The sequence below is a fragment of the Homo sapiens genome, chromosome 2 (assembly GCF_000001405.40).
Source record: "Homo sapiens chromosome 2, GRCh38.p14 Primary Assembly".
In the NCBI taxonomy this organism is placed as follows: Eukaryota; Metazoa; Chordata; class Mammalia; order Primates; family Hominidae; genus Homo; species Homo sapiens.
The window spans coordinates 204,653,684-204,679,580 of NC_000002.12; the positions used below are offsets into that span (position 1 = coordinate 204,653,684).

Genomic DNA, 25,897 nt, shown 5'->3' on the forward strand with positions numbered 1-25,897 from the left:
GGGAGGCTGAGACAGGAGAATTGCTTGAACCCAGGAGGCGGAGGTTGCAGTGAGCCAAGATCATGCCACTCCAGTCTGGGTGATGGAGCAAGACTCTGTCTCAAAAAAAAAAAAAAAAAAAAGAAGTTGAAATATTCATTCAGCATTCAAGGGGACCTGATGTCTGAGATTAGTTTAACCTAATGAAGCACTGGTCCTTAAATTTGGGAGGAAAGTTTGAGAGTCTGATGACAACGTACACTATTTCCCCAGATACAAATGTACATTTATGAACATGCATATACATAAATAATTTTGCATGCAATCATATGAGAGTCTCCAGTTTAAAAACTTCTGCAATAAAAATTCCTCTTGTGTGTCTTCATTGGCTACTGCATCTTCACGTCTTATTGTGTGGTCCTCTTTATCTGTGTCTCAGCAAGGAGGTGATGTGAGGATAATCTTGCAAAATGTAGAGTCTTAGAAAGGTGAGCTTTTGCCTGAGACCCCACTTCTTGGTTAACTTATGGTGAGTGTGCCTGTGTTCATCTAATACCTTTCATATAAGGAAGGCAAGATGATTTATCCAGGCTGAGGGGGGAAACGAAGAAAGGATCGTGACAACCTAATGCAGGTTCTTGAATAAAAGGGGTTAGTTTCTAATTTTGATGTGGAACCATAAACATGAGGATTTATTCCTAGTATCATGGGTGAATAGTTGCTTCTATTCCCGTGTATTCCTCACTGAGCTTTCTTGAGTATCATCACAGATAACTCTGTTACCTGGTAATGAAGAACTCTGCTGGGGAAGTAAATGGAATGTGGTGATGTTGGGTTTTTCTGCCATTTTAGCTGATTTGAGGAGATAGTCTTTCTACAGATAGGAAGTTCTCATGCCATGAGTGATAGGGCAGTGTTTTTTATATCCATATAGTGGATTTTAGTTTTTCACTGGAACATGGATAATGAGAAACTGTCTCTAAAAAGTATCTCTGAAGTTGAGATTTTTGGAGGGACTTCTTGAGGGAAGTGTTTTACCAGGAACTGGAACTTCATTATTGGTGATAAGCTCTTTTCCTTTGGAGTTTTTATTTTGAAGCATAATACTCACTTGAATAGGAATAAATTCTTTATTTTTTGTTTATTTCTGGGCACAGTGCCCAGGTTTTTGTTGGGGCAAGTTTATCCTCTAAAGAAACTTTCTTAAACAGTAGATGTTTCATAGTCTCTGGTGGACCGAGCAGACTATCCAGTACATTGAGAGCAGGACTCTTTGAGACCTCCTAAAACAAGAGGATCTTGAAATCTACTGCTGTGGAACAGCAGCTCCAAGGGAGCAACACTTGTCTCCCCCAGAAATACTTAGATTTGTTGCTTTAAGTCTTGGTTGCACACACTGGGTGATATCTGAGAGTAGAAGAGAAAGCTCATGACTTTAGAGACATGTCATCATTTCATTGGCTGCAAGTACACATCTCTTCCTGTTGATTCTCCCCTTAGTTCTATAGCTAAATTCCTTGTCCAGTTACCAATAAGTATCTCTTTTTGGAAAACTCTGTCCATTTTTAAGCAACACTCCTGCATTCAAGGCTACAGATTGCTCAGTGCTTCAGTCAGCTGATACTGCTCCCTAAAGTTATGCAATATCCCAATATCCCTGCTTGAATTTCCACATAGTAGCTACATTCCTTTCTCTTCCTCAGAATCTTGCTTCTCTCTGATTTACTCTGCTTGTCTGTTCTATATAAGATGCCCCCATTTGTTGCCTGCATTCCTGGATGCGTTTTCCTCACTGCTGTTACGCAAGTGCCAAAGTCATTCTACCTTGCAAAAGTTTTAAGTGCCCTTCCCTAATTTAGAATGTTTTCTGAAATTATACTTCATTCATTACTATTCAACATGTATTAAGCATGTTTATAGTGTATTAGGAATTGGGGAAGTGGTCCTGGAGGAGATCATGACCCAGGACATACTATGTTTAGTTGTCCTATGATGTGATAAGCGCTAGCTGTGTGAACATGTACAATGGAGACATAGAAATGTGTTTAAATCTGTTGTGGAGGATTAAAGGAGGTCAGCATATATATCTGAATAACAACCACAAACCCAGTAGCTTAAGTGATAATCATTTATTGTTGCCTGCAAGTCCGTGGGTCAGCTGTGCTATTCTTCCAGTTTTGACTGTGTTTACTCATTTGTCCACGGTTAGCCACAGGCTGGAAATTTGTCTCAGCTGATCTTGTCTGGGCCCTTTCAGGTATTTTGGGGTGAGAAGGTTGTAGGCTGGTTTAGAATAGATGCAGCTAAGTAGACTTATCTTTGGTGGCTTCTTCTCCAGCAGGCTAGTCTGGGCCTTTTCTCATAGCAAAGGAAATGTTCTAAGAAGCAAGCAGAAGTGCTCAAGGCTTTTTGAGATCTAGGCTCAGAACTGGCACACTATTATTTCTGCAGCATTCTATTGGCCACTGCAAATCACAAAGCCAGCCAACATTCAGAGGGAATGGAAATAGACTTCACCTTTTGATGAGAAGTGCTGCAGAGTTGCATGGCAAAGGCTGTAGATACATGGTGGGAAATAACTTGGACCATTTTTTATAATCGATCTACGATTGCACCTTTAATTGATAATCAGACTTCCTGAAGTAGAAAAGTCAGTAGAAGGCATTGAATACAGATATATGGAAGGTTTACATGATAGAAAACAAACAAACAAACAAACAAACAAACATGTATGGGCAGTATGAGCAACTTAATTCCAAAGTTATTCCTGGTATGATAACTTGTTTTAGTGTCATTTTCCAATCTACTTCACTGTTTACAGTCTTAAAGTTTAGGGGTAAGGAGACTATTTTAGGCCAATTCCTTATAAATTAAGAAACACCTAGAAATGTTGAGAGCCACCCAGTCCTTAAATCACATTCTTGACAGAAGTGGAACTATTACTATGAACTCAGATCTCCTCTTTTCATGGTACTCTTCATAAGCACTGTCCATGTTTCCAGTTTTACATTTTTGAAAGGTAGGCATGTTTCATGTGTTATTTCTTAATGTGACCTACCTTCTACATTCTAAATATTTTTTCACAGTATCTGTCACTGTGGGCTCATCAGAAAGACTTGTGCAAATAGTGAGAGCAAATGCCTAAACCCTCATGTACCACCTTGTCCTCATGTTGAGATTTTAATAAGCTTTAAATGATTTGGAATAGAAGCAGCTCCTGTGTTATTTCACTTTTGTCTGTGCCTTTGTGTTCTAGGCACAGTTGTAATGTTCTGAAGTCACAATCTGAGCCATTAAGAGTAAGATCATGATGTCTCTGGATACCCAGAGTGAGTGCCTTGGTCTTATTTGTAATTTTAGAACTGCTGCTTCTTGGGGACCTGGGTCAAGTGATTGTATTAGACTTTGAAGAGTTCTAGGCCATACTGTTTGATGCACAGATTCCATCCCACTGTCGTATCACTTTCTTCTCTTCACAGGAACATAGCAAGATCTGGAGGAGAAAGAGAGGAAACTACTCCAGCTGTGTTCTTTATCATCTCACACTTGTTCATACTTAACCATACATTAAGAATTGTGAGCTGGGCACAGTGACTCACTCCTGTAATCCCAGCACTTTGGGAAGCCAAGGCAGGAGGATTTTTGAGCTCAACCTAGGTAACATAGTGAAACCTCATCTCTACCAAAAGAAAACATAGCTGGGTGTGGTGTTGTGTACCTGTGGTCCCAGCTACTTGGGAGACTGAGGTCAAAGGATTACTTGAGCCCAAGATGTTGAGGCTGCAGTGAGCTATGATTGCATCATTGCACTCCAGCATGGATGACAGAGGTGAGACCCTGTCTAAAAAAAAAATTTTTTTTTTGATTCATATCTTAATTCCTGCTAGAGAAACCAAGGCAAGATGAAGAGAACTGGGACTGAATTCTTAGCTTTATGAAGGCTGTGTGCTTAATTATTCTTAAAGCTTGGCTTATACAAGCCATACGTTTTCAGGTAATCCTATAAAACAAATGAAAGCACAATCATCCACATACCTATGAATATTTGAATATTATATTTAGAACAAATAGCAAAATGAATTGAAATACTTCTTTACTTAATTTTAAATAGTATGTATGATCATAATTTTTCTCCATTACATTATTTTAATGATGTACTTTAGTAAACCATGGTTGCATGCAAGTGAAACTTGAGATTTTCAAAATACTCCTTAATTCTTAAAAAAAGTAAGAACTTTTTTAGTAATATGTATACACATTTGATCTTCATATATTCTATAGTTTATGGGTGTTCAAGTATTTACTGACACTCTTAGCTGCAAAGCCCTGTGCTAGAAGCTGTAAATGAGATGATTGTGACTTAGACATGATCTAAGCCTATCAGGTCAAGAAAGACAAATGTGCAGCTATTATAAAGGCTCTACTATGGCAGATAATTTTTCTAATTGCTAGATGACATTAATTTTCCATTTTGCATTTGGGATATGCTAGAATTTTATATTTTCACCTTTATTCAAAGACACTTTGAAGACTAAAAGTTAAAAAAAAAATCTATCTTATTAGATCCTTCAAGTCAAACTATTGCCCAAGGGAACAGGTGGAGTGAGTTGCTTTACATAGTAAGTTAGGATTGAGTACTAGGCATGGAGTTGGTTTATACATTTTCTTCTGTGTTCTTATAGATATAAACTTTTCACCTTATTGGATTCTTCAGCTTAAAAAAATACAAAAGGATTATTAACTATTGCCCTTAAGTGTTAAAAACGTCTCTTGGTCTTAGTAAATAAGTAGCCTGAACTAAAGATCCTAGGAAAGATTGTCTTCATTGTTTGCAGCCATCATGCAAGACATATGCCTCTTGCAAAAATTGGTGACCATTCACTTTGTCAGTTACCTCAAAGCTGAGGAATGACCGAAGGCAAAAAGTGTATAACCTCTAGAACAGGCATTCAACAAATTATTTTTTTTTTCTTTTCCAAACCTTGTAGGACTTAACACAGGTTATTTACCATATAGATGTTGTTTTCATTGCTAGATTTCTAGAAAATATGTGAAAAGCTCAAATAACTTCATTTCTATTGTGTCAGCTTCTAATATTAATAAAAATTTTACTCTAGATCCAACAAAAGTCCTAACTTTTATTTCCAGGGTACAATCTGCTATTACCAATGTGTCTGAGTATTTTTACTCTTTCATAATAACCTATGCCAATAAATAGTCAAGTGTCCAATCAATCCCCATCATCGTTGCAGACATTTAAAAGCTCATGTAGATATTAAAATGCATTATCTCGGTTCCATTTCTTTGGAGGTCTATACAGCAAATATCTTTGTCCTTGAAAATGTAAGTAGCCAGGCCAGCTATCACATTGTTCCAGGTGTTTTAGCATTCCCTAGCTATAGTAGCAGTCTAGATAGGCTGATCTCAGAAAATGCTAACTCCTCAATTTGCATTCTTAGATGTGTTACTGCTGTACTGAATGTTATCAGATACTCTTGACCTAAAGAGTAATCAATAGCAGAGATTTTAGTTTTCTAGGTTGGAAGAACCTTGGTAATTTTGACATAATTGAACAATTGTGTTGTTTTCCCTAACGTTCATCTTTGGCTTCCAGTGATAGCCCCAAAGAAGTAATTTCTTTCTGTATTCTGAACCTGTATTTTAGGTATCTGGCCCCATTGAGAGATGCGCCAAGATATTCTTGTGTGACACAGCTAGATAGGCTAGGGGTTTCTAACTCAACCATCAATGGAGCTGGACAGGGAAATCAAATTCCCTGAATGAGGTGGGCTGAATGAAGGCAAGAAGGAATGGTGATAGGTGGCCAAGTGGAGGGTACACAAGTGTGTGAGTTGTGTATATAGCATCGTGGCTCAGATCCAGTTGATTACCATTACACTGGAATGCAGGCCCACTTTTGAAAGATTACATGTTTCCCCCACATCATCCCAAGAGGAGCTAGTCAGATTTTGATGCAGAATTTCCCACCTTTAACATACTGTGCAACTAAAGAAAACACTTCTGTATGTCAGGATGTGGTTGGCACTGTGATCCAGGCTTCCCTATCCATGAATGGTGACATCTGAGACCATTTTATCATCATCTTAAGTACTTTCATACATTATTTAACAGCAGCATTGAAATAACATTAATCTGTCTTTATAAACAATGGATGCTATTTACAAAAATTATGATACAACTACCTAGGTCAAAGCCAAGGTTCCTTTTGATGCTAAACATAAAGTTGCAACTATTACTATTTACAGTAATTCTAGCATTAATGCCATTCTCTAAGATTGGAAGACTTTGAGCCAAACTTATTTTCAGTCTACATGGGGACCTCAGAGGAAAACACCCCTACAGATAATTCACCTCAACCTCAGATGTCCAGGCAAGACGAACAGAGGTGTGAAGTGCTGGTTGATAGCTCTCAGTGAGGCCTCCAGATAATGTATTTCTTTTTCATCTGCTTCCCTTGGGGAAGAAGCTATTCCACAAATGTTTATTGAGTATAGAACCTTCTGAATTATAAATTTTCATCCCTTCTGTTGTGTCCCTTGCTCTGAAGTTTTTCTCCTTCAATCAATAGTTTCCATTTCAACCATGTTTATTATTGCAATTAACCACCTCCTTCTAACTGCTTTTTGCAATGTTTTATAAAAGCAACCACCAGATACTTCCAAGTATCCTAAAGAAAATTGTCCTCCCGACTCCAGCCCCAGCTATTAAACATTTAAAACAAATGAAGTTATTTATTGAGTACCTATAGTTTGCCAGGGAATATGCTAAGTTGCGGGGTGTGGTGGCCTATGAAAATATAAGACATAGAAATGTATGATCTTTTAAAAAGTTGCTAATATACTGTTCTGTCAATACTGTCTCTGGAAGGAGTTCAGATAATGTATAATAAATCATTAGTGGACCAGGCCAACATCTAGTTAAGCACTAATCTTGGTTCCAAAAGGTTACAGAAGTATATTTCTGAAGTGACTCCCATACTAAATTTTGATCCTTTAAAGAAGTTACTACTCTTCCTATTTGGTGATTTATCCCCCCTCTGTGAAATTATTTTTTTGTTTTTCATTTCCTTTTAGGAACAGAACTCATTAATTGCTACTAATAGCAATTGTGTGATGTTTTTAATTCCTAAAGAAAGGTGCTATGAAAATCTAGTTGATCTTAACATGAGTTTAATTTTAAAGTATTAATGTATAGAACATGCAGTGTGGCTTTGTGAGTTATGCCAAAAATGAAGCCATTAATTCCCAAGTTGAGTTTAAACCCAAATTTTCTTTCATTGCAGTGCCTGGATACCTGTGTATTGGATGAGCAGTTGAGTACTGATGCTTTCCCCAGGGAGCACTGCCAGTGACTTGCCCTACAAGTCAGGCCTCCTTTTAAGTCAGGCCTAGTAGTGAGCAGTGATTCTTCCTAGTAACAACTGATAGATTGAGGGACATTTTTGAAGCACTCAATTCCTCAGTTTCTTTTCCATTATACTTTTTTGTTAAATTAGGAACAGGTAGTAACCCTTCCTCTTTCCCCATCTCAAACCCAAAAGAATGTCCCCAGGAAGATTACCCAGTGACATTCACAGTAAAGGTGAATAAATGTTAGTGTGAATCCACAAGGCTGGTGTTAACGGTTTTTCCCTTCCCCTTTGCTTGTGTTTCCCACCTGCTGAATAAGAATACCTGAAGAAGTGTCAAGAAGATGCTGCTGTTGAAGGCCTTGGAGTCCCCGAGATGCAACTTACTTTCCCCTTTAAAATATCTAAACAAGACATTTAATATTGAAACCAAGTACCTCATGACCAGAGGCAGAATGAGCCACAATATTCAGGAACCATTTCCTCATCTCCATCTGGAATACAGTACTCTGCTATAGGGGTTTTCAAACTTTTGTTCACAGGACCTCTTTGCTGTCTTAACTCCTTGAGAACCCAAATGAGCTTAAGTATATGTGGCTTATATTTATCAATATTTTGGATTAGATATTATAACTAAGGGATTCTAAATTATTTAACAAATTTATTTAAAAATAAACCCATTACATGTTGATGAAATAATATATTTTTATGAGAAAATAACTATCTTCTAAGAACAAAAATCTTTACTGAAAAAAGTATTGTTTTACATTTTCACAGATTTCTTTAGTGTCTGATTTAAGGGAAGACAGCTGGATTCTTATATCTCCTTCTGCATTCAATCTGTTGTGCCTATTTTGGTTTATGTAGAAACTGGGCCTCATACAAATATGTAGCTGGAAAAGAAAGGATCATTTTAATACTCTTTTCAGGTAATTTTGGGTATTCTTCTCTAATACTGTACTAAAACTTGACAAATGGTAGTTTCTTAAGGATTTCTTACAAGGGAGAAAATGAAACAATATCAATGAACTTTCTGTACTGTAAAATACACTGGTCTATCTTGCATTTTGAATGGAACTGTTATCCACACGTGATTTTGTAACATCATACATTTGTCCCTTGGAAAATATTCATAGATTGAGTTATGCAGATCTTCCAAATAGTGACAGATTTTATTATTTGTTATCAAAATCATTGCATTTATTAATATTACCACTGATCTTATCAGAAAGGTTCTTCAGTACTGGGAAGCTGTCAAGCTCATGGTGGCAAATACAAGTTGGCAAAAATTCTAATTTTCCTTTGAAAGCTGGAATTTTATTATTGGCAACAGATACAGTGAGTTTTCATTGAAGTAATGGGCTTACTTTATATATTTTCAAGAAAATCTTTGCCAAATAACCAGTCTGGAAAACCATCATCTGCCTTTCAGTCATTCATTCAAATAAAAAAATGGTGTTCCATGAAAACAGCAGGTGGTTCAGCTTGCAACATAATCACACAAGTTCTTTTTCTTTGCAGAACCATCATACATCAGAAGTGCTTCATGTGTACTTCCTATTTTGTCACATAGAATATTAAAGATACGTAAGTTCAAGGGTTGAGGTTTAATAACATTTATAATTGTTATTGCTTGGTTACAGACCTTGAGTGAAACTGCCTGTTGTTTATGTTTTGAACTGGTACTGGGTAGTGGTAAAAAACAAAATGACTATTCATATAGTTGGGTGCCTCTGCCATTATTCATGCTAAGACACCAGCAGTTTGACCCGCCATCAGTCCAAATGGCAACACAGTAAATAAGGCCAATAACATGATAGAATTATTATGGAAATAGCTTTGACCTTTTGGACTTGAGACCCCCAAGAGTCTGTGGACCAACTTTAAAAACTGCTGTTCTATTACATATTTTCCAAATGCCTGGTTTGCATTATCAGATTTACTCTCATACTGTAACCCCATTATACTTCATCAAGAAGTGGGGCTATGCTACCTTTCCTCCCTTATCCAAACACCAAAACTAACCATATAGGTATCTTTACATTTGCCACATTTTAGTAATTCCTTATCCCAGTTCGCCATGACGAACATGTAGACATGAGCTTAATCCAAGCTGTAACCATGGTTACTGTTTTCCCCAGGCTGGCCCTACTTGTTGGGCCACAGCTGGCTCGTACCTGCTGTCTTGCCCATTGCTGCCCACCCTGCCATTCTCATGTGAGCTAGCCTCGGCTTCCTGAGGTTCCCTATGAGGTATCCTGAGCTCTGCATGGACACATCCTTCTACTGAATTTTAGTGCCATGACAGTGAGAATATCACCCGCATCCCTTAGTTGCAGTGTCAGTGCTTAAAGGTATTTGCTGAACTTACAATCATATTGGGAAATGTGAGTATTAAAGTCAAAACACTTCTGGAACCTAAACTCATACCTATTGTACTGATTTTTACCAGATAAAGGAAATGATGACACTTATTAGTTGGCTTGGATTTTAAAATATAAAGATCGTATTGAAGGTAGATGGATAGGAGGTGAAGTATTTGAAATGCGGCATTGGACCTGGGCTTACAAACTCCAGGTGTGATTCCTCCTCTTACCAGCTCTTTCACCTTCTGTGAGGTGAGCTACCTCTTTGAGCCTTATTTTTCTTGTCTGTAGGAGAGTGTTAATATTTACCCGTAAGTGTTGTAGGGAAGATTAATCTCGTTTTGTAGATAGCAGCTACCATACTGTGTGGACATAGTAGATAACTATTTTAAAAATCATAATTTATAAATTTGGTAATTAGACATTTACAGATCTGATTTCAGCTGTCATATACGGTTGCATTATTATAGTGTGAATTCATGCCCCCATGATTTTAAAAAGTGGTGTTTTTGGCATGTGTGCATTCGCTGAAGTTGTAAAACACATTTTTTAAGTGTACAAGTAATGGACAGCAGATGAGAAACAGATTGCAAAAACTCTTTTCAGTATCCAAACATGACAGTAAACTCATATTGTTCAAAGAATAGGGCCCTTAATTGGGTGGGATTTTTATTTGATTTATGACCTGAGGCTAATACTGTGGCTTGGATATGTTCTAACCCCATGACTGTCTAATAGCTTACATATATGTTGGGTAGTAATGCCAGTGGATAGGTTTTATTCTGAGAACCTTCATTCTTAACTCAAATCTCAAAAATAGATGACAAGGCAGAAAATATTTGGGGTGATAAGATTGAATATGGAATAGAGCATCAATTGCTTGCTCTCAGATACTAGTCTTTTTTGTTTTTCAAGTAATGGAGAAACCATATATTATTTTCATCTGGGAGTGTCTGTTGTGTTTGCATGCACCAGATGAGCTGGAGAAGTTGTGGCCTGCAAGTAACATAAAGCAAATAAAATTTTTGCCAGACGGGGCATAACTAAATGCTTACCACCCTCCCTGAAAGTTAGTTACGTTTTGATCATTGGTCTGCTATATTGAATGCTGATTTTTTTTTCCAGTTTGACATGATAGTAAGTGACATTGCATTGTATAAAAAGGATATTTTTATTTACACACACTTAAAAATGGATCCTGGGTTTTAAGGAAATTTCCTTTTAAGCACATTTTGGCTCTGGTAAAATCTATTCTGAAGAACTTATAGGCAAATAGCTTTTGAGAATTTGGACTCATTAGCAGGGCTTATTTCTTTGGCTATATTTCCTGATAATAGTTTTCTGTAAGCTATGTGAATGTCAGAGAGCAGAAATAGTCAGAATTTTTCTTCTGAGCTCATTAGTGAATGCATACAGGATGAGGTAGCCTGAAACAGTTTGAGGTATAATCAGTGTCTTCTCACTCTCTCCTTTTCTTTCATCTCATTCTTTACCATGTTTGTTGGGCATTAGTTTAAAAGCCTAGCATTTAATAGGAACTTTGGCATATGTAAATATTTTCTAGGTTCAGTTTTAGCAAATCCGTTGCTCTCATGAAGACTGTAGAGAAAATGTTTGTACTGATTTAGGAATGTTAAGAATGTGGTGGGGAGTGGCTCTTCAGAATACTGCAGTGTGGTAATCATGTTTGTGGCTATGATTTTCTTGTTTTTGTTTTTTTTTTTGTCTTTGTTCTTTCATCTCAGCTTTTCAAAATCTTTAGAAAATATAAGATATTCCCATTTTAGGGTTTAGAAAATGACTCAAATATATGCATATAGTTGTGAAAGGTGTTGAGATAGCCTCAAATAATAAGCTATATCTTTTGACCATATTATAGGTGGGGTCTCTGCCTGGGAATGACCCACCCTCAAGCTGTTTGGCTCCTGTTAAAAGGACTAGAAGGGCTCTGCCAGAGGAACAAGGATGCTCTTCCTGGTGTGGCTCTTCTGTGGCATCTGGTTCAGGGCTGTGGTCCCACTCCCAATGGCAGATTTTCTTATTTTAGAGGGAGTGAGTCACATTCCTCAACCAGTGGATGAAAAATTCCAGCCATTCCAATTATCCACGCCTATGATCCCTTCTGTTTTACACAGATCATTGAGTCCCAACTCACTAGACCAAGACTCAGGGAAATCATGCTATGATCTTGGCTGTGCCATTGGCCAATTTTGTGACCTCAGGGAGTGTGTAAAATCTGGGTCTCAATTTCCTCATCTGTAAAATGAAGTAATTAGAAGAAAGGCCCTTTTTGATGACACAGTCTGTGACCTCTAACTGGTAATTTTTATAAGTATTCTCACAAGAAAGCTGTGGTTGCAAGAAACTAGAAATTAGTGGGATAAATGAGATCTAACATAGGCATCGATTAGCGTACTTCTTACCAAGTTTTAGAGGGCTCCAAGGAATATCTTGGGCTGTATATGTGATATAGCAAACTTTAAAGAGTTTGTGACTGTGACATTGTCCTCTCACAGAGTATAAAGCTGTTCAGTAACTATTTATGGAATGATGAATGAGTTTGCCTGATGCCTACTGGTATGAATTTTCCTTCTTGAACTTACTCTGGTACTAACCATTCTTTGTCTGAATATGATGATCTTTTCCATGCAGCAGTCACCAGTAGTAATGGACTTGACTGCCTGTGGAGCCCAGGCAATCTTTATAATGATGGATTGGGCTCTCAAGTGGGGGAGTAAAGCATTTTAAGTTGATGAAGACATTGCCCCTGCTCTTGAGAAAGAAACAAATAAGCAACTAATCATAGAGGCAAAATGAAATAATAGATGTAATCAAAATGTGAACAAGGTAATGGTGGGTGCGATGGAATAATAAATTAATTCTAATTGGAGAACTGAGGAAGGATTCATATGTGAGATGAAGAGTCATGAAGGTTGGACCTAGAGAGATACTCTCTAATATTAAACTAGAGAGGGAAAAATAAAAGGTAATTTCAGCAAAGGAGAAGGGCTTTTTGGATTAAAGCAGTAGTAGGACTCCAAATATGTCACTATAGGAAGGGCATGGAATATTTGGAGAAAAGTGAGTCGATGTAGAGAAACCAATAGGTGGCTATTGCTGTAGTGAGAGCAAGAGATGATGGTTAACTTGGCCCAGAGAGTAGTTGTAAGAGTGAAGGGAAGTGAACAGCTTGAGATAGATTTAGAAGATAAAGTCAATAGAATTTGTCGATGGATATCATAAGGGGGGTTATAGAGAGGGGTATAGATGAATCCTAGAATTTTGGCTCACACAAGTGGGAAACTATCACCATTTGCTATGAAAAAAAAACACCTAAGGTGTAGAATGCCATGCACTCAGTTTTGGGCATGTAGGTTTAGGCATCTATGTTGAGATGTAAGGTTGGAGCCCTCAGTAATAAGTCATGGTAGAAATGTGTTTGGGAGCCATCCAGGTTAAAGTCCTAGCGGTAGATGAGCTTACTGGAGAGAAAACAGAGATATGGAAAAGTAGAGTCATGTATCTAGGACTGAGTGAACATTGAGGGATTTGGATGTAAAGGCTGAGCAGAAGATGCTGATTGACAAAGGAAACTGAGAACTGGACATATGCATTGAATGGTGTGAATATAAGGGAGACAGCTTATGTCCGGATACCCATCTGGGAGAGAGGATGAGGAAATGCTGAGTAGGCCATGGTAAGGCAAGAGAATGGCAGAAAGACTTAATCATGGGTGTTATAAAAATTACTTAGGAGTGGTCTTAAAATTACTGGGGATATTTCTCTTTGATTAGAGTTCACTAGGCTGGAATCTTCATAAAAGCAGGGGCTGTGTTCCCTTGTTCATTACTGTAACTGCAGCAAGCTCAGTGCCTCTGCATAGAAATCACCCAATACATGATGTTGGCAAATGCTCAAATATTTGTTTTTTTTAAACTCAATTTTTTTACCTTAAATATTTTTTTTTACCTCAAATTCCTCAGATATCATGTGTTTTCCTTGACTCTGAATATTACCTCCATGCATATAACTTACCAATGTGTATGTCCTAGGTCTGACCTCTCTTCTGAGTTCCAGTCCCAGATTTTTAGCTGCCTGTTAGACTTCTTTACCTGGATCACTTGGAGGCATCTCACATTCAATTAAGGCAAATACTGAACTTGACTCACATTTTCCACCTTCCCATTCTGTCACTCATGCTTTCTTCTTTGTTACAGATCTTATAATGGACTCTCTTCTAGTCTAATTTTTTGTGTGCATGTGAATGTGTGTGCTTGTGTGTGTGAGAGCCTCTGCCTTCCATGGGGGAGTCACAAATAGTGAAAAAGGCAGTCACACATAGTGAGAAAAGGCAGCGCTTTCATAGAATCTTTATATTCCCACTATGCCTTATGCTGTGCCTTTCATGTAGTCACACTAAATAACAGTTTGGTTTAAATCAGGGTTTGTTAACAAGCCATATAAATTTTTGGACTCTGCCTTTTAGCATGTGAAAGACTTGTGAAGATTTCAAAGACAAATAAGAAAAAGTATGCCTAACGAGGTGTATATATAAAGAGAGTTAAAACATTGGTGATTCTTGTATGGACAGAAGAAAGCAGGGGATCATTTGATAATAAACCTACATTTCTGTTGTGGAAGGAGGTGTAAATAAATGAAAAGCCTTCTTTCAAGTCTATGAAGTCTTATTTACTGTGGAGGCATTCTAATCATTTCCCCAATCTGAAAGGACTGAATAAGCAGGAGAGAGAGGAGAGAGTTGGTCTGGAAATATTTTCCCCATGGTGAGCATAGCTCTAAAGGTCAATGGATGGACTGATGCAGTCAGCTGGTGACACTTGAATGGCCTTACCCAGCTGGCATCTGTTCTGATTGATTAGCGCTTCTGTGCTTTAGATTAGAAGTTATTATTGAAATATGTGTTTGGCTCACTTTGAATTCTTATTGACTCAGTTAGTTTACGTTTCATTTCAATTCTAGATTTTCCATCTCTGTTTCATACCTCTGTTGTCTCATGGACTGTTTAAAAACTAATGCTTTCCTTGAGTAAGATTCTCCAGAATGTCAGGCCCAGAAGTTGAATTTGACTCAACGTTTCCTGAAGATTGGACTTCTAAATTAACACTAAAAGTTTCCGAAGATATGTTTTTTAGTTACGTCATCAGCTTAATTTGTAACCCTTTTCATTCCAAATACATCTCTGAGGTAAGTCTTCTAGCACACTGACTTTTATTTACATTTAATTCGGAATATTCTTAGTGCTGTTAAGACACCTTTTTCATAAAAAAGACAATACATTCCGTCCTTATGGTTGGCAGAGTAACACCATCTGAAAGATGTCTACTTCCTAGTCCCTAGAACATTTGTATATGTGATGTTACATGACAAATGAGAATTAAGGTAACATATGAAATTAAGATTGGTCAGTTTACTTTAAGCTAGAGAGATTAACCTGGTGGGCTCAGTGTAATCACAGGGGTCTTTATTTGTGGAAGAGGGAAGCAGGAGAGAAGGTCAGACTTGACTGGCCATTTATGGTTTTGAAGTTGGAAGGGACCAAAGAGCTAAAGAATGTGGGCAACCTCTTCAGAAGGTAGAAAAAGCAAGTTAATGAATCCTCCCTTGGAGCCTCCAGAAAGGAATTCAGGTCCACTCACATCTTGATGTTCACCTAGTAAGATCCACGCCTGACTTCAGGCCTGCAGAATTAGAAGATAATAAATCAGTGTTATTGCAGTCCACTAAGTTGGTAGGTAATTTGTAACCGGAGAAATAGGAAACCAGTAGAACCCTTCTTTATTTCAGTTTGGTGATATGAATGTGTTGCTTCTTACATTCTAGATACCAGGCATTTATAATTTTTCCTAGAAGAGTTAGCCTATTTTTACTTTATAGGATCAAGGGCAACCATGTTTACTTTCATAAGGAGTAATTTTTTTTACCTATACAAAATTGGATAATTTGTTTTGCTATTGAATGTGATTATATCCACTTTTATCAATATATAATTATTATCTAAGTACATTTTGGCATAACTCACTATATATTTTATATAAAGTCACCTCTTATAACTTGCATAACAGTAACCCAACATGCTTTTGAGCTGTAAAAAGGAGAATATGTTCGAACATTCTTGTTTGAATGGTTTAGTAGTTACGACATTGGCATTGTTAGGAATGACAAATAGTCATTTCCTATTTGGTTTATCAGGGAACACTATTTCCTTGGTTGCAATAAATGTCCATACTGTCTATTGGTTTTCAACTTTTGGAATCAAATTATAGAGAAAGTATGGTTATCATTACAGAAAAGAATGTAAATATTTGCAACTTCAGTAGCATAAAAGTAAAGGTAGAGCCGACAGAAATGGGAAGGGAAGGGGTGGAAGGTGAGGAAAAGAGTAAGGGCTGCCAAGTCCTCTTTTACTCCGAGGAATGAAGAGATGCTGTTTTAGATGACAGAATAAACATAGTCATTTATTAAAGATAAAGGTAACCACTAAAGGGAATAAAAATATTTGAATAACTCTATTAATGGAAAGGATGGAAAAGTTGGGGGACTCTAAATTCACTAAGTTCCCATGAATGATTTCAGAAAGTCAAAAGATGATTCTGAAGTTGAACGGTTGGGACAGTCAGAAATGCTTATTATTTAGAGAAAAGGTGTTAAAATTCAAAAAGACTAAAAGATCTAAAAGAGTTGCCTCTGGAGAATACAGAACTGGGCCACTCTTCTGTACCATTTAATTTTTTAAAATCAAAGTAATGCTTACACATGGTTTAAAGAAGGGTTGGCAAAGTTATCTGTAAAGATCTAGAAAGTAAATATTTTAGCCTTTGCAAGCCACATGACCTCTGTTGCAGCTGCTCAACTCTGAGTTTGGCTGTGTTCCCTTTTATCTTTATTTACAAAAGCAGTGATAGGTAGGATTTGGCCCATGGGTCACAGTTTGCCAATTCGTTTATAGGGTCAAATAGTGCTAAAAGGCCCATGACAAAAACAGTGGTCCAATGGCCCCCTGCCGCCCAAACCACTTCTAAGAAGCAGTCACTCCAAACCCTTCACTCTAAACCCCACAGGTTTTTTCTATTTTTCTCCATAATTCTAATAATGTATGAATCAAGGGATACCAGTGTGCTTTTATGTCTAAATATGAATTTACTGCTATTCCTTGGTTCATCAATTTTAGACATTTTCTGTTTACATCTGATTAAGGTAGTTGAAAATACTAGCTATTTTATAGCTATAACTCAAGCTATACGTTTTTTTCTCCTTGTTTCCTAAAATTATTGTTAGGCTATTTGGTTAAATGCATATTCAGTGTTTTTACTGTTATGAGAATGCAGCTATTGTTACTTTTGAGCCCATAACTATGGTTGCCTTTTGTCTCGTGCAAACTTTTGGTTTTACTGGAGTTAATGACTTTATTTGCTTAGTTTTCATTGAATCTCATGCTTTTTTTCCGTTCTTTTTAATAGTTATGTAAAATGTCTCTTACTGCAATCTTCCACTGAGTTAAAACCATCAAAAATCTATTGATTTTGGACTTTTTCCTAGGAACATTGCTCCTGGAGCCCTTCTTCATTGTCCTGATCACATCAGGATTGGTTTTTCTCTAAGCCTTGCATGGTTATGTTAATTGCTGTCACCGTTTATCTGAGAATTCCCTTCCCATCTCTTGTGTGTTGGGTCCTCTGTTCCCTGGGTCCCTCATTTTGGTGGAGCACATTCGTCTAATCACCTGTCAGGAGTGACTGGGAGGAGGGTTGAGTGTAAGCCTGGTTTTTACTTTGCTGGCGTTGGATAGAGTAGCAAGGTTGGCATGTGACCCCCAGTCTTTAGTCTGTAGCCTTTTACATTCAGCCCTTCTCTGTGCCTGATGTCTTAGAGTCTGGATCTTGCTCTTTTTCAGTTTCTCCAGAGATAATATCTCTTGCCTCTCGATGAGTGAGATGGTGGGGGGCACCTACCTAGGAGTGTTATCCTTCCTTAAAGAATTTGTCAGGCAGCTTTTGTTCACCATTTTCAGCCCCCACCTTCGTCTACTTTTCATGATACCTGGGGTCTCCAGACCCTGTCGAAGTAGATAGGCTTGTGTTTCATGCTAGCTCTCTTCATTGGCAGGAACTTGGATTTGACCTTCTTCCCCTCTGAGAAGTCATTACTTCCTTGTCTTTCCTTTTCCTGTCTGCATGTTGTGATTTGAGTTACAGATATCTGCTACTTCCATGAAGATAGAGTTTATGGTTTTGTTTCTTAATTTCCTTGTTTGGGGATGATTTTCAGAGAAGGAATGAGATTGTCGTAATGACTGTAACTGTGGATGTGTGTTAGCTGATAATTTTTAAAATTAAAATATTTCTGTATCTGCAGTTTTCAAAACAATAAAGATGAAACTTATTTTCTTTCACCAGCTAAAATAAAGACCCACAGTCATCTCAGCTTTGGGGTTATATTAATATGTATGCATGAATGAATATATTCAAATATATATGTGCATGTATGCAACTGATAGTGTAATATAATCGTCGGAAAACTTTTCCTCAACATTTTGATTATTTTTCTATAATTTTTAGCATCTTTCTTTATAAGGTGAATTTTTAGCTTAATATTGTGTTGTTGTTTACTTCTTACACAATTGGCATTCCTGCTTGGGGCTTCCCTCCCACTGTATTTATAACTTAGTAGTGTAATAATGGTATAATGATACATCATTGTAGGCAATACTACATTGTTTTTCATGTCTTCATCTACCTTCTCATTCGCATTCCTGAAGTAGATAAGGTGTTACACCCAAGGGAAGCTGTTAGCTTTTATTAGCAGGCTATTTTCTGAAAAGTTTTAGCTAATTGTTTTTGGAGTTTGGCTTGCCTTTTCCCATGTAAAGAATATTTAAATGAAAATTTGTATTGTCTGCACAGGCTTTTCATATGTCAACATTTTGATTAATGTCAATGAATGTGTCAGTTAATTATGAATCTTAGCTAAGGCACTGGACATGAAGGGCAGATGGCCAGTGTATCCAGAAATTCTCAAACTGTTTGTGATAGAGGACCAGATTGTTTTGTTTGTTCATCTATGGCAAACAGATACTTTTATAAAATACAAAATCATGTGCATGAATATAGCAATAAAAATTGCTATAAATTTTAAAAAATGCTTACTCCCAATTTTTGTATTTTTGTTGCAAATGAAAAACAAACAGTTTCATGGAATGCATTAGCCTACAGACTACATTTTGATCCAGGCATAGGAAAAAAATTGGGAAGAGCGTTTCTTCCCAAATTTTTGACGTGTGAAAAACTTGCCTACCATTCTGGTGCTTCTCTTTCTGGGCCTTTTGCTCACTTCCTGCTGATTTTATTCTTTCCCAAGCCCAGAGGGTCTCTTTGCCCTCCTAACTGCTCATTAGCTTCTAGTTTTGAAGAATTATGCAGAGTAGTAATAATCACAGGCGCTGTTTATTGCACATCTATTGTAAGAAGAGTGCAGTGTCAGATGCTGGGATTACAGTGGCATACACATCAGAAATGGCGCTGCCTTTGGAATGTAAGAGTCTGTTGTCAAGAAAGAAAATATATGTATGTATATGTATGCCCGTGTATGTGAATGTATGTGAATATGTAATGAATTTCTCACAATCCAGTGAGGGTAGAGGATATTGTTCCCATTTATGAGTGGTAAATTTTGAATTTCAGCCTAGTCTTACTTTAAAGCTCATACTTTTTCCACGAAGCATTTTGGGGAGTATGCTGAATTATCCTATTTATGTGGCACATGCCCAGCCAATCCTGCTGTGCTGTACATCAGCAGTTTGGAAAAACCATCTGAGATGCAAATAACATGTAAGTCCCTTCTTCTTCCTTTCTAGAAGTATTTTCTTTTAAAAGAAAAGGTACCTTTAAACATATTTAATGCTGATGTAAAAAGTAGTAGAATTTTATTTCATTTTGTAGAGTGGAATAAAAAATTTACTCAGTGTGGTGCAAGATACTCTTGGCAAGGGTAGAGAGGTGGTTACTACCACTTGGTGTTTTTGCATCTCCACCAAGTTTATTCAACCTGACAAGCGAACTAGTTTTCCCACTCTCATATAAGGGTTGCTTTTCTGAGCTTTGACTTATTTTACAAATGACTGCAATGAGACTTGCCCTGGGGCACAGCCATTTGTTAGAAGACCTGGCTCCCCACCTCCAGTCTGCCACTGACTTGCCTCAAGTCTGTGCTCAAATGCCACTTTTTCATGGAGGCCGGGCCTGACCCCTTATTTAAAAATACAAACTGCCTGTACTCCCCATCCTCCTCATCCTACTGTATTTTATCTCTCAAATTGCTTATCACTTACTAACATATCATTAATTCACGTATGTATTTTGTTTGTTAATTATTGTCTTCTCCCTTCACTAAAATTTAAGCTTTATTCCTTCCAAGAGCTGGATTTTTATTCTCTTTTTTCTTAGATGTTGCAAGAACTCAACACATGTTGCAGAAAGGACTGCCATTGACCTGCAGTCTACAGTGTTTCTGCTTCTCCCATGCTGCCCTTGTCTATATCAAAAGATCTAAGTCTCAAGATTTGAGCTTTTACTCAGTATCAATAAAATGGCTTTCTCTGTTATACCCTGAGCCCGTCCCCCTACTTTCTTACTCCTTTCTGTTTCTCATTGTCTTCATTTGTATGACAAATGCATAATGAATGTCAGAAGTAGTGCTGGGGATATGGAAGTGAGTAAGATAAATGAGGTTTCTGAATCATGGTGCTTATGTTCTAGTTGGGGCAGACTAAGCCATAAAATTAACAAATAATTGAATAAAATAAGGATAACATGATATTGATAATTTATGATACTTCCAGGGAATCAGCGTTAGTTAGGTCGAGAAATTTCTCTCTGAGTAGGGGATACTTGAGGTTAGCTCTTCCTGCTTTCTTCTCTGCATTCTCTGTATTCTTTTTAGCTATACCTGTGATCCCTCTGCAGCATTCTGGAGGAATGAAGTTGTTAGAGAAACGCAGCTAACAGTAGCAGGTAGTATTATCCCCAATCCTTTTTGAAGATCAGAGGCAAATAATCCCTTACTATTCCTATTACTGCCACACTGAAAAGAAGTTTTATAAACAGTGTGGGAGGGGGGTGGGTGTTGGCGGGAGGTAGGTGGTTGCAGTAAAGTGGATGAGGTCTTTATGTTTGTCTTAGAGTTAGTTTATTAAAGTTAACTTATTTTATAAACACGGCCGCCAGTACCTCTTCTGCAATAAATTAAAATTCTCCTTTCTGTGTCTTAATCTCTTCTTTGATTGATCCATAAAACTGTGTTCAAGTGAAGAGCTAAGGGCCATTATTGTTACCTGTAAAATGCTTTAAACCTTACTCAGTCATTCATATACACAAAGATACACACAACTGGTAGACACTATCTGTCGAAAGTATTCTTTGGAGTTAGCATACAAAGATGCCAACGTTATAGCACCAAGAAAGTTTGAATTGGAGATATTAAGTAAACTGTGAGTTGTACAAATTTGCATTCTCAAATTTATTCTTATTAAAATTCATTTTGTAGCAGAATGTTTTTTAGGGCTTTATAATGGAAGAATTATTCTAAAAATTAATAGCTTGCTCTTCTCTTTGGAGAGATGGCTCCTTCCACTTTTTAGGTGTAGGCTTTGAATTCCTCTGGACCACACAAGTTTCTAAAACCTTGGCATCCAGGGCTTTGGACTATAAAATTTCATTGGAAACAAATAATGGAAAACAGGATTTTTAAAAAATCAGCTGTTTTCTTTAAAATTACTTTGAGTCATTGTTTTTCAATATTATTAAATTAGTAATGGTTCAGTGTTTTACGTCTTTCATACTGAGAATTGTTTTTAAATGGATTAAATCCATTTAATCTGCTTAAGTATATTTGCATCAATTATGCATTAAATATCTTTAATTTTTTTTAATTTCAGACTTTTAACGTTTAATTTTCCTGATATAACTTCAGTTTTGTGATTATACTGTATATAAACCTGAAGAGTTACATAAGGCCTATACTTTCATGCATTTAAGAGTGAGCCTTTAACTCACTCCTAGAGCTGTAGGAAAATGAAATTTCTATATTCTTATAAAGTCAGTGTCTTGAGATGATGTAGACAGTACATTTGGAAATAATTAAAATTTGTTCTTTATTAAAAAAAAGCTCTATCTAGATCTGGACCTTTTCTTCTCAAATAAATTTAGATTAATCCTAAAATGAAAAATGAACCTCTAAAGCCCTTTATATAAAGAAAACCGCTGAGATTATAGTTACTTCACAAAGCTGAATGAAAGTGACATGGGTTAATTAACATTCCTTTAAATATTTAGCTGATATATGAACTAGGAAGTGAAATATATGTCTCAATACTTAAATATTTTTCTATTTGAAAAAGGGAATAAGTAATATTATTAAAACTTAGATTATGAGATACTGTAGAAACAAATTCCCTGGAATTGTTGGTGCTTTTATATTGCAATTATTTTGTTTAGAATTATACATCAGAAGAAAACAACTATTAATACCTTTTCTATGGCTTAACCTTTGTTAAGCCATACTGGTTTATACATAATGGTTTATACTGGTTCCCTGTCTTTAAAATAAGAGGCCTATTCTCGGTGGTCTCTGAGCCAATGAATTCCTTCCAGTCTTTGAACTTATAAATTTACTAGTCAAGGCTTGAAAATTCCAAGTATTTTTTTTGGGGCGGGGGGTGGTAATGAGGGGAAGGTGGGAGGAGAACTATTTTAGAGTGAGAAAACAGCCTATTCAAAAATAATGTTCAAATCAATATAAAATTCTCAGGCTTTTTTTTCCCCCCTACCAAGAGTATTTCTTTTACCTTGGAGATGAAAGACCTTTTTCTTAAATTTGTTCATAAATTAATGAATTTTCAGGCTACATGGCAAGACATTGGAATAACGGGTAGATTGGGGAATTCAAAATATGATGTTTTGTTGAATAGACTTTCTGCTTGGGGATGCACAGTAACAGGGGAATCCTGCAGAATTGCCGAATCTATTATTCCTACCCTACAGCAGAGATTTCCTCTTTCAAGAGCTCAAAGCCCTAAGGATCTTTGAGGTTCTAGGTGCTGTAGGTCTGAGAGTTGGAAGGGATCTTCAGGATCACAGAAGTTCCACGTCTTATCCTGTAGCATCCTTGAGATACGGCTATCTAGCCTTTGCTTCACTCTTGAAAGATGTAGAGAGCTCATGTTTTTACCATACATCCCATTCTACTCTATGATTGTTTTTTTTTTTTTTTTTTTTGGAGACAGAGTCTTGCTCTGTCACCCAGGCTGGAGTGCAGTGGTGCAATCTCGGCTCACTGCAACCTCCACCTCCTGGATTCAAGCAATTCTCCTGCCTCAGCCTCCTGAGTAGCTGGGATTACAGGCACGTGCCACCACGCCCAGCTAATTTTTATATTTTTAGTAGAGACAGGGTTTCACCATGTTGGTCAGGGTGGTCTCAAACTCCTGACGTCGTGATCCACCCACCTCGGCCTCCCAAAGTGCTGGGATTACAGGCGTGAGCCACCGCACCCGGCCAAGATTGTTCTTTTTGAAGGATCTTTCTTACGCTGAGTTTCTACCTCTCTATCGTCTATGTATCATTTCTAGAACAGCACAGAAAAAGCCAAATCTCTCTTTTATGTGGAAGGCTTTTAGTTGGATTGGAGATCTCCTATGGTCATTTAACTCTCTGCTGTTACCTCTGTTGTCTCAGTTCTCATGTACTTATTTACGGAGGTCTAAGTGTTTAAGGTAAAACTTTTACATAAAATATAGTCTCCAGTGTAATCCAGATACTTCCTCTGGTGCTCAACTGAAAAGACAATGAATACTCCAAGTCTAGATTAAAAACAGGTAGCATTGGCCTTATTCAGAGGACGTATGTTCACTTCCATTGTGGTGTCTCCCTAAGGGATTTTTAGGACTAATTTTAATAAGTAATTTTTACCTTACCTGATAACTTTAAGAGCTCAGTGCCCTGTAAACTGTAGTTCTGTCTTTGAAATAGCAAAGTGTTTTCCTTTTTGTTCTCCAATTTAGACAAGCCTCAATTAATTCAGCTCACTCATCATAAGATGTATTTCCATCTCCTTAACCTTTGTGGTTACTGTCACATGGGTCATCTCCAGTTAGTTAATGATGGTCTCTTCAAATCTGACAAAATACTCTAAATGTAGTGGGACCACTTTGGCACAGAGTGAAACGATTCCTTGTTCTGTTCTCACACAGTCCTTGTATTATCATAGCCTAAGATGGTAATAATAATATTTTTAGCAGACTCATCACTGTTGACTTGTTAAAGCCTGTGGTCAACTAAGCATCTCCTGGGCTTCTTAGAAATGTTGAATAACTGGTAGTCAGTTAGCTACATGTTCTATTGGTAGGATAACCTGGCCTTCCCATCTTCTGGGACTTCTACACTCCTTTTGTTTTAGGATTTGTCCTTATTCTTCTGAGGAAACTAGACTTACTCTGAACAGCTTTTTGGTGGTCTTCATTTGTTTAGCTGTAGAGATGGCATGTGCAAAAGGAACAATTAGGTATTTCAGTTTGAAAAAGTCACATTTTTGGAAGCAAAGATATTATTTTCATTTTTATGTAAATACCTTGGAAGTATATCACACGTGCAGAAAAGTACACAAGTTAAGTATAGCTGGTGAGACAGGAGAGTCCCTGACTCCCTCGCAGGACTTGCGATGAGGGGTGGCTCCTTTGCAGCCGAGCTCAAACCGCTTGTGGGAGGGGGAGCACGCAGGTGAGCAGGTGCAGGACCTGGGGCAAGTGCCTTTAGGTGCTGGCAGGACCAAACCCAGTAACCGGGCCCGTGGTAGCAATCAGTGGTTGCCCGCAACTTCTGGAGCCCCAGAGGTTGTGTATTACAAACAATGCCCTTTTGGTTGTTGCCTTCAACAGAGAGCTAAGCCTTAACCAGCTCAGTGGAGAGTCAGGGTGACATATACCCTGCCCTCTTGGTACCCGGGTTCTTGTCTGGCATCCAGGAAGAATCAGGTCACACGGACTTGAAGGATGTTGAATGCAGAGGTTTTATTGACTGATGGAGGTGGCTGTCAGTGGAAAAGGAGCTAGAGCGGGGATGGTGCGGGAAGAAAGTAGTCTTTCCTTGAAGCCTGGCTGACTCCAGCCGGGTCGTCTCCGAAGTCGTGTGGTCTGACATTAAGCCGCGTCTAGCCTTAGTCTCTGATGCGCAGTTGCTTCTAGTCTCTGATGCGCAGTTGCTTCTCCTCTCGATGTTCAGCCGCTTGTCTCTCTGCCAGCTGAGCTCTGAGGTTTATAGGAGCACGAGATACGGAGGCTGGGTGGGCCAAAAAGTAGCATTTGAGCTGGAAAACGGATAACTGTTTTCATTTAGGGCTGCAGATTCCAGGCTCGAGGGTGGGTTCTTTGCCAGGGAGCTGCCCTCTTCTATCCAGTATTTCCCTGCCTCCTGTCGGTATCGCTAACATACAGATCAAGAAATAGAACATTGCCCTAGAAGCCGCTTCATGCCTCTTTCTACTCACCACCCTTCCCCCTCACAAGGAGTAACCAGTCTCGTGACTTCTACATTGTGAATTAATTATGCCTCTTTTTGAACTTGTTATGCATGTAATCATACAAAAGGTGCTTGTTTTGTATTTGGCTCTTTTTATGCAATTTCATGTTGCGAGATTTACTCATGTTGTCGCATAAACTTGTAGTTTTGTTCATTCTTGCTGTATAGTATTCCATTGCATGGACATACTGTAGTTTATACATTCTACTGGTTACGAATATTTGAGCTATTTCCAGATTTTTAGGTATTAAAAATAATCCTGCTATGAATATTCTGTGTGTCGTTTGGTTAGGTATATATTCATAGCAGGATTTGATATATACCCAGATTTCTGTTAGATGTATACCCAGAAGTGGAATTGCTGAGTTATGTGTGATGTTCATTCAGCTTTATGGCATGTTTATGTTCAGTTACTGCCAGTTTTCCAAAGTGATTGTATACATTTACACTTTTACCCTTAGTGTACTAGAATTCTAGTTGCTTTGTATTCTCACAATCCTTACCCTAACCCCAGTCAATTTGGACAAGATCAATATCTTCACAATAGTGAGCTTTTCAATCTATGATAGTCTTCTTTAATTTTTCCTAATATTTTA

At 37.6% G+C, this 25,897-nt stretch overlaps 1 protein-coding gene and 1 long non-coding RNA gene across 13 annotated transcripts in view, besides 1 other annotated feature; one reads left to right on the plus strand and one right to left on the minus strand.

Moving 5' to 3' along the window:
* PARD3B (par-3 family cell polarity regulator beta) overlaps window positions 1-25,897 on the plus strand; it is a 1,074,688-nt gene that overhangs the window by 108,209 nt on the left and 940,582 nt on the right. The window contains exons 1-4 of one of the 12 annotated variants that reach the window (XM_011510552.3): window positions 8,063-8,277; window positions 8,870-8,935; window positions 9,801-9,966; window positions 14,695-14,919. The exons of 4 other annotated variants lie outside the window; for them this stretch is intronic. In XM_011510552.3, coding sequence (XP_011508854.1) covers window positions 14,776-14,919 — 144 coding nt within the window. In that variant the 5' untranslated portion in view covers window positions 8,063-8,277; window positions 8,870-8,935; window positions 9,801-9,966; window positions 14,695-14,775. Of the gene's footprint in view, window positions 1-8,061; window positions 8,278-8,869; window positions 8,936-9,800; window positions 14,920-25,897 lie in introns of those variants that run through there. 7 more of the 12 variants (XM_047443208.1, XM_017003285.2, XM_017003288.2 and 4 more) reach the window with 7 other exon arrangements.
* Window positions 11,045-11,612: an enhancer, noted in NCBI's record as "NANOG-H3K27ac hESC enhancer chr2:205529451-205530018 (GRCh37/hg19 assembly coordinates)". NCBI's record gives its function as "activates a minimal SCP1, AML or CMV promoter by ChIP-STARR-seq in primed H9 embryonic stem cells {active_cell/tissue: H9 hESC(primed)}" and the evidence as "EXISTENCE:reporter gene assay evidence [ECO:0000049][PMID:30033119]".
* Window positions 15,180-25,015, minus strand: LOC124907968 (uncharacterized). Its single transcript, XR_007088057.1, has 2 exons — window positions 23,702-25,015; window positions 15,180-15,413 (listed from the first exon to the last, which is right to left on the minus strand). It is a non-coding gene; the product is annotated as an uncharacterized LOC124907968 (long non-coding RNA).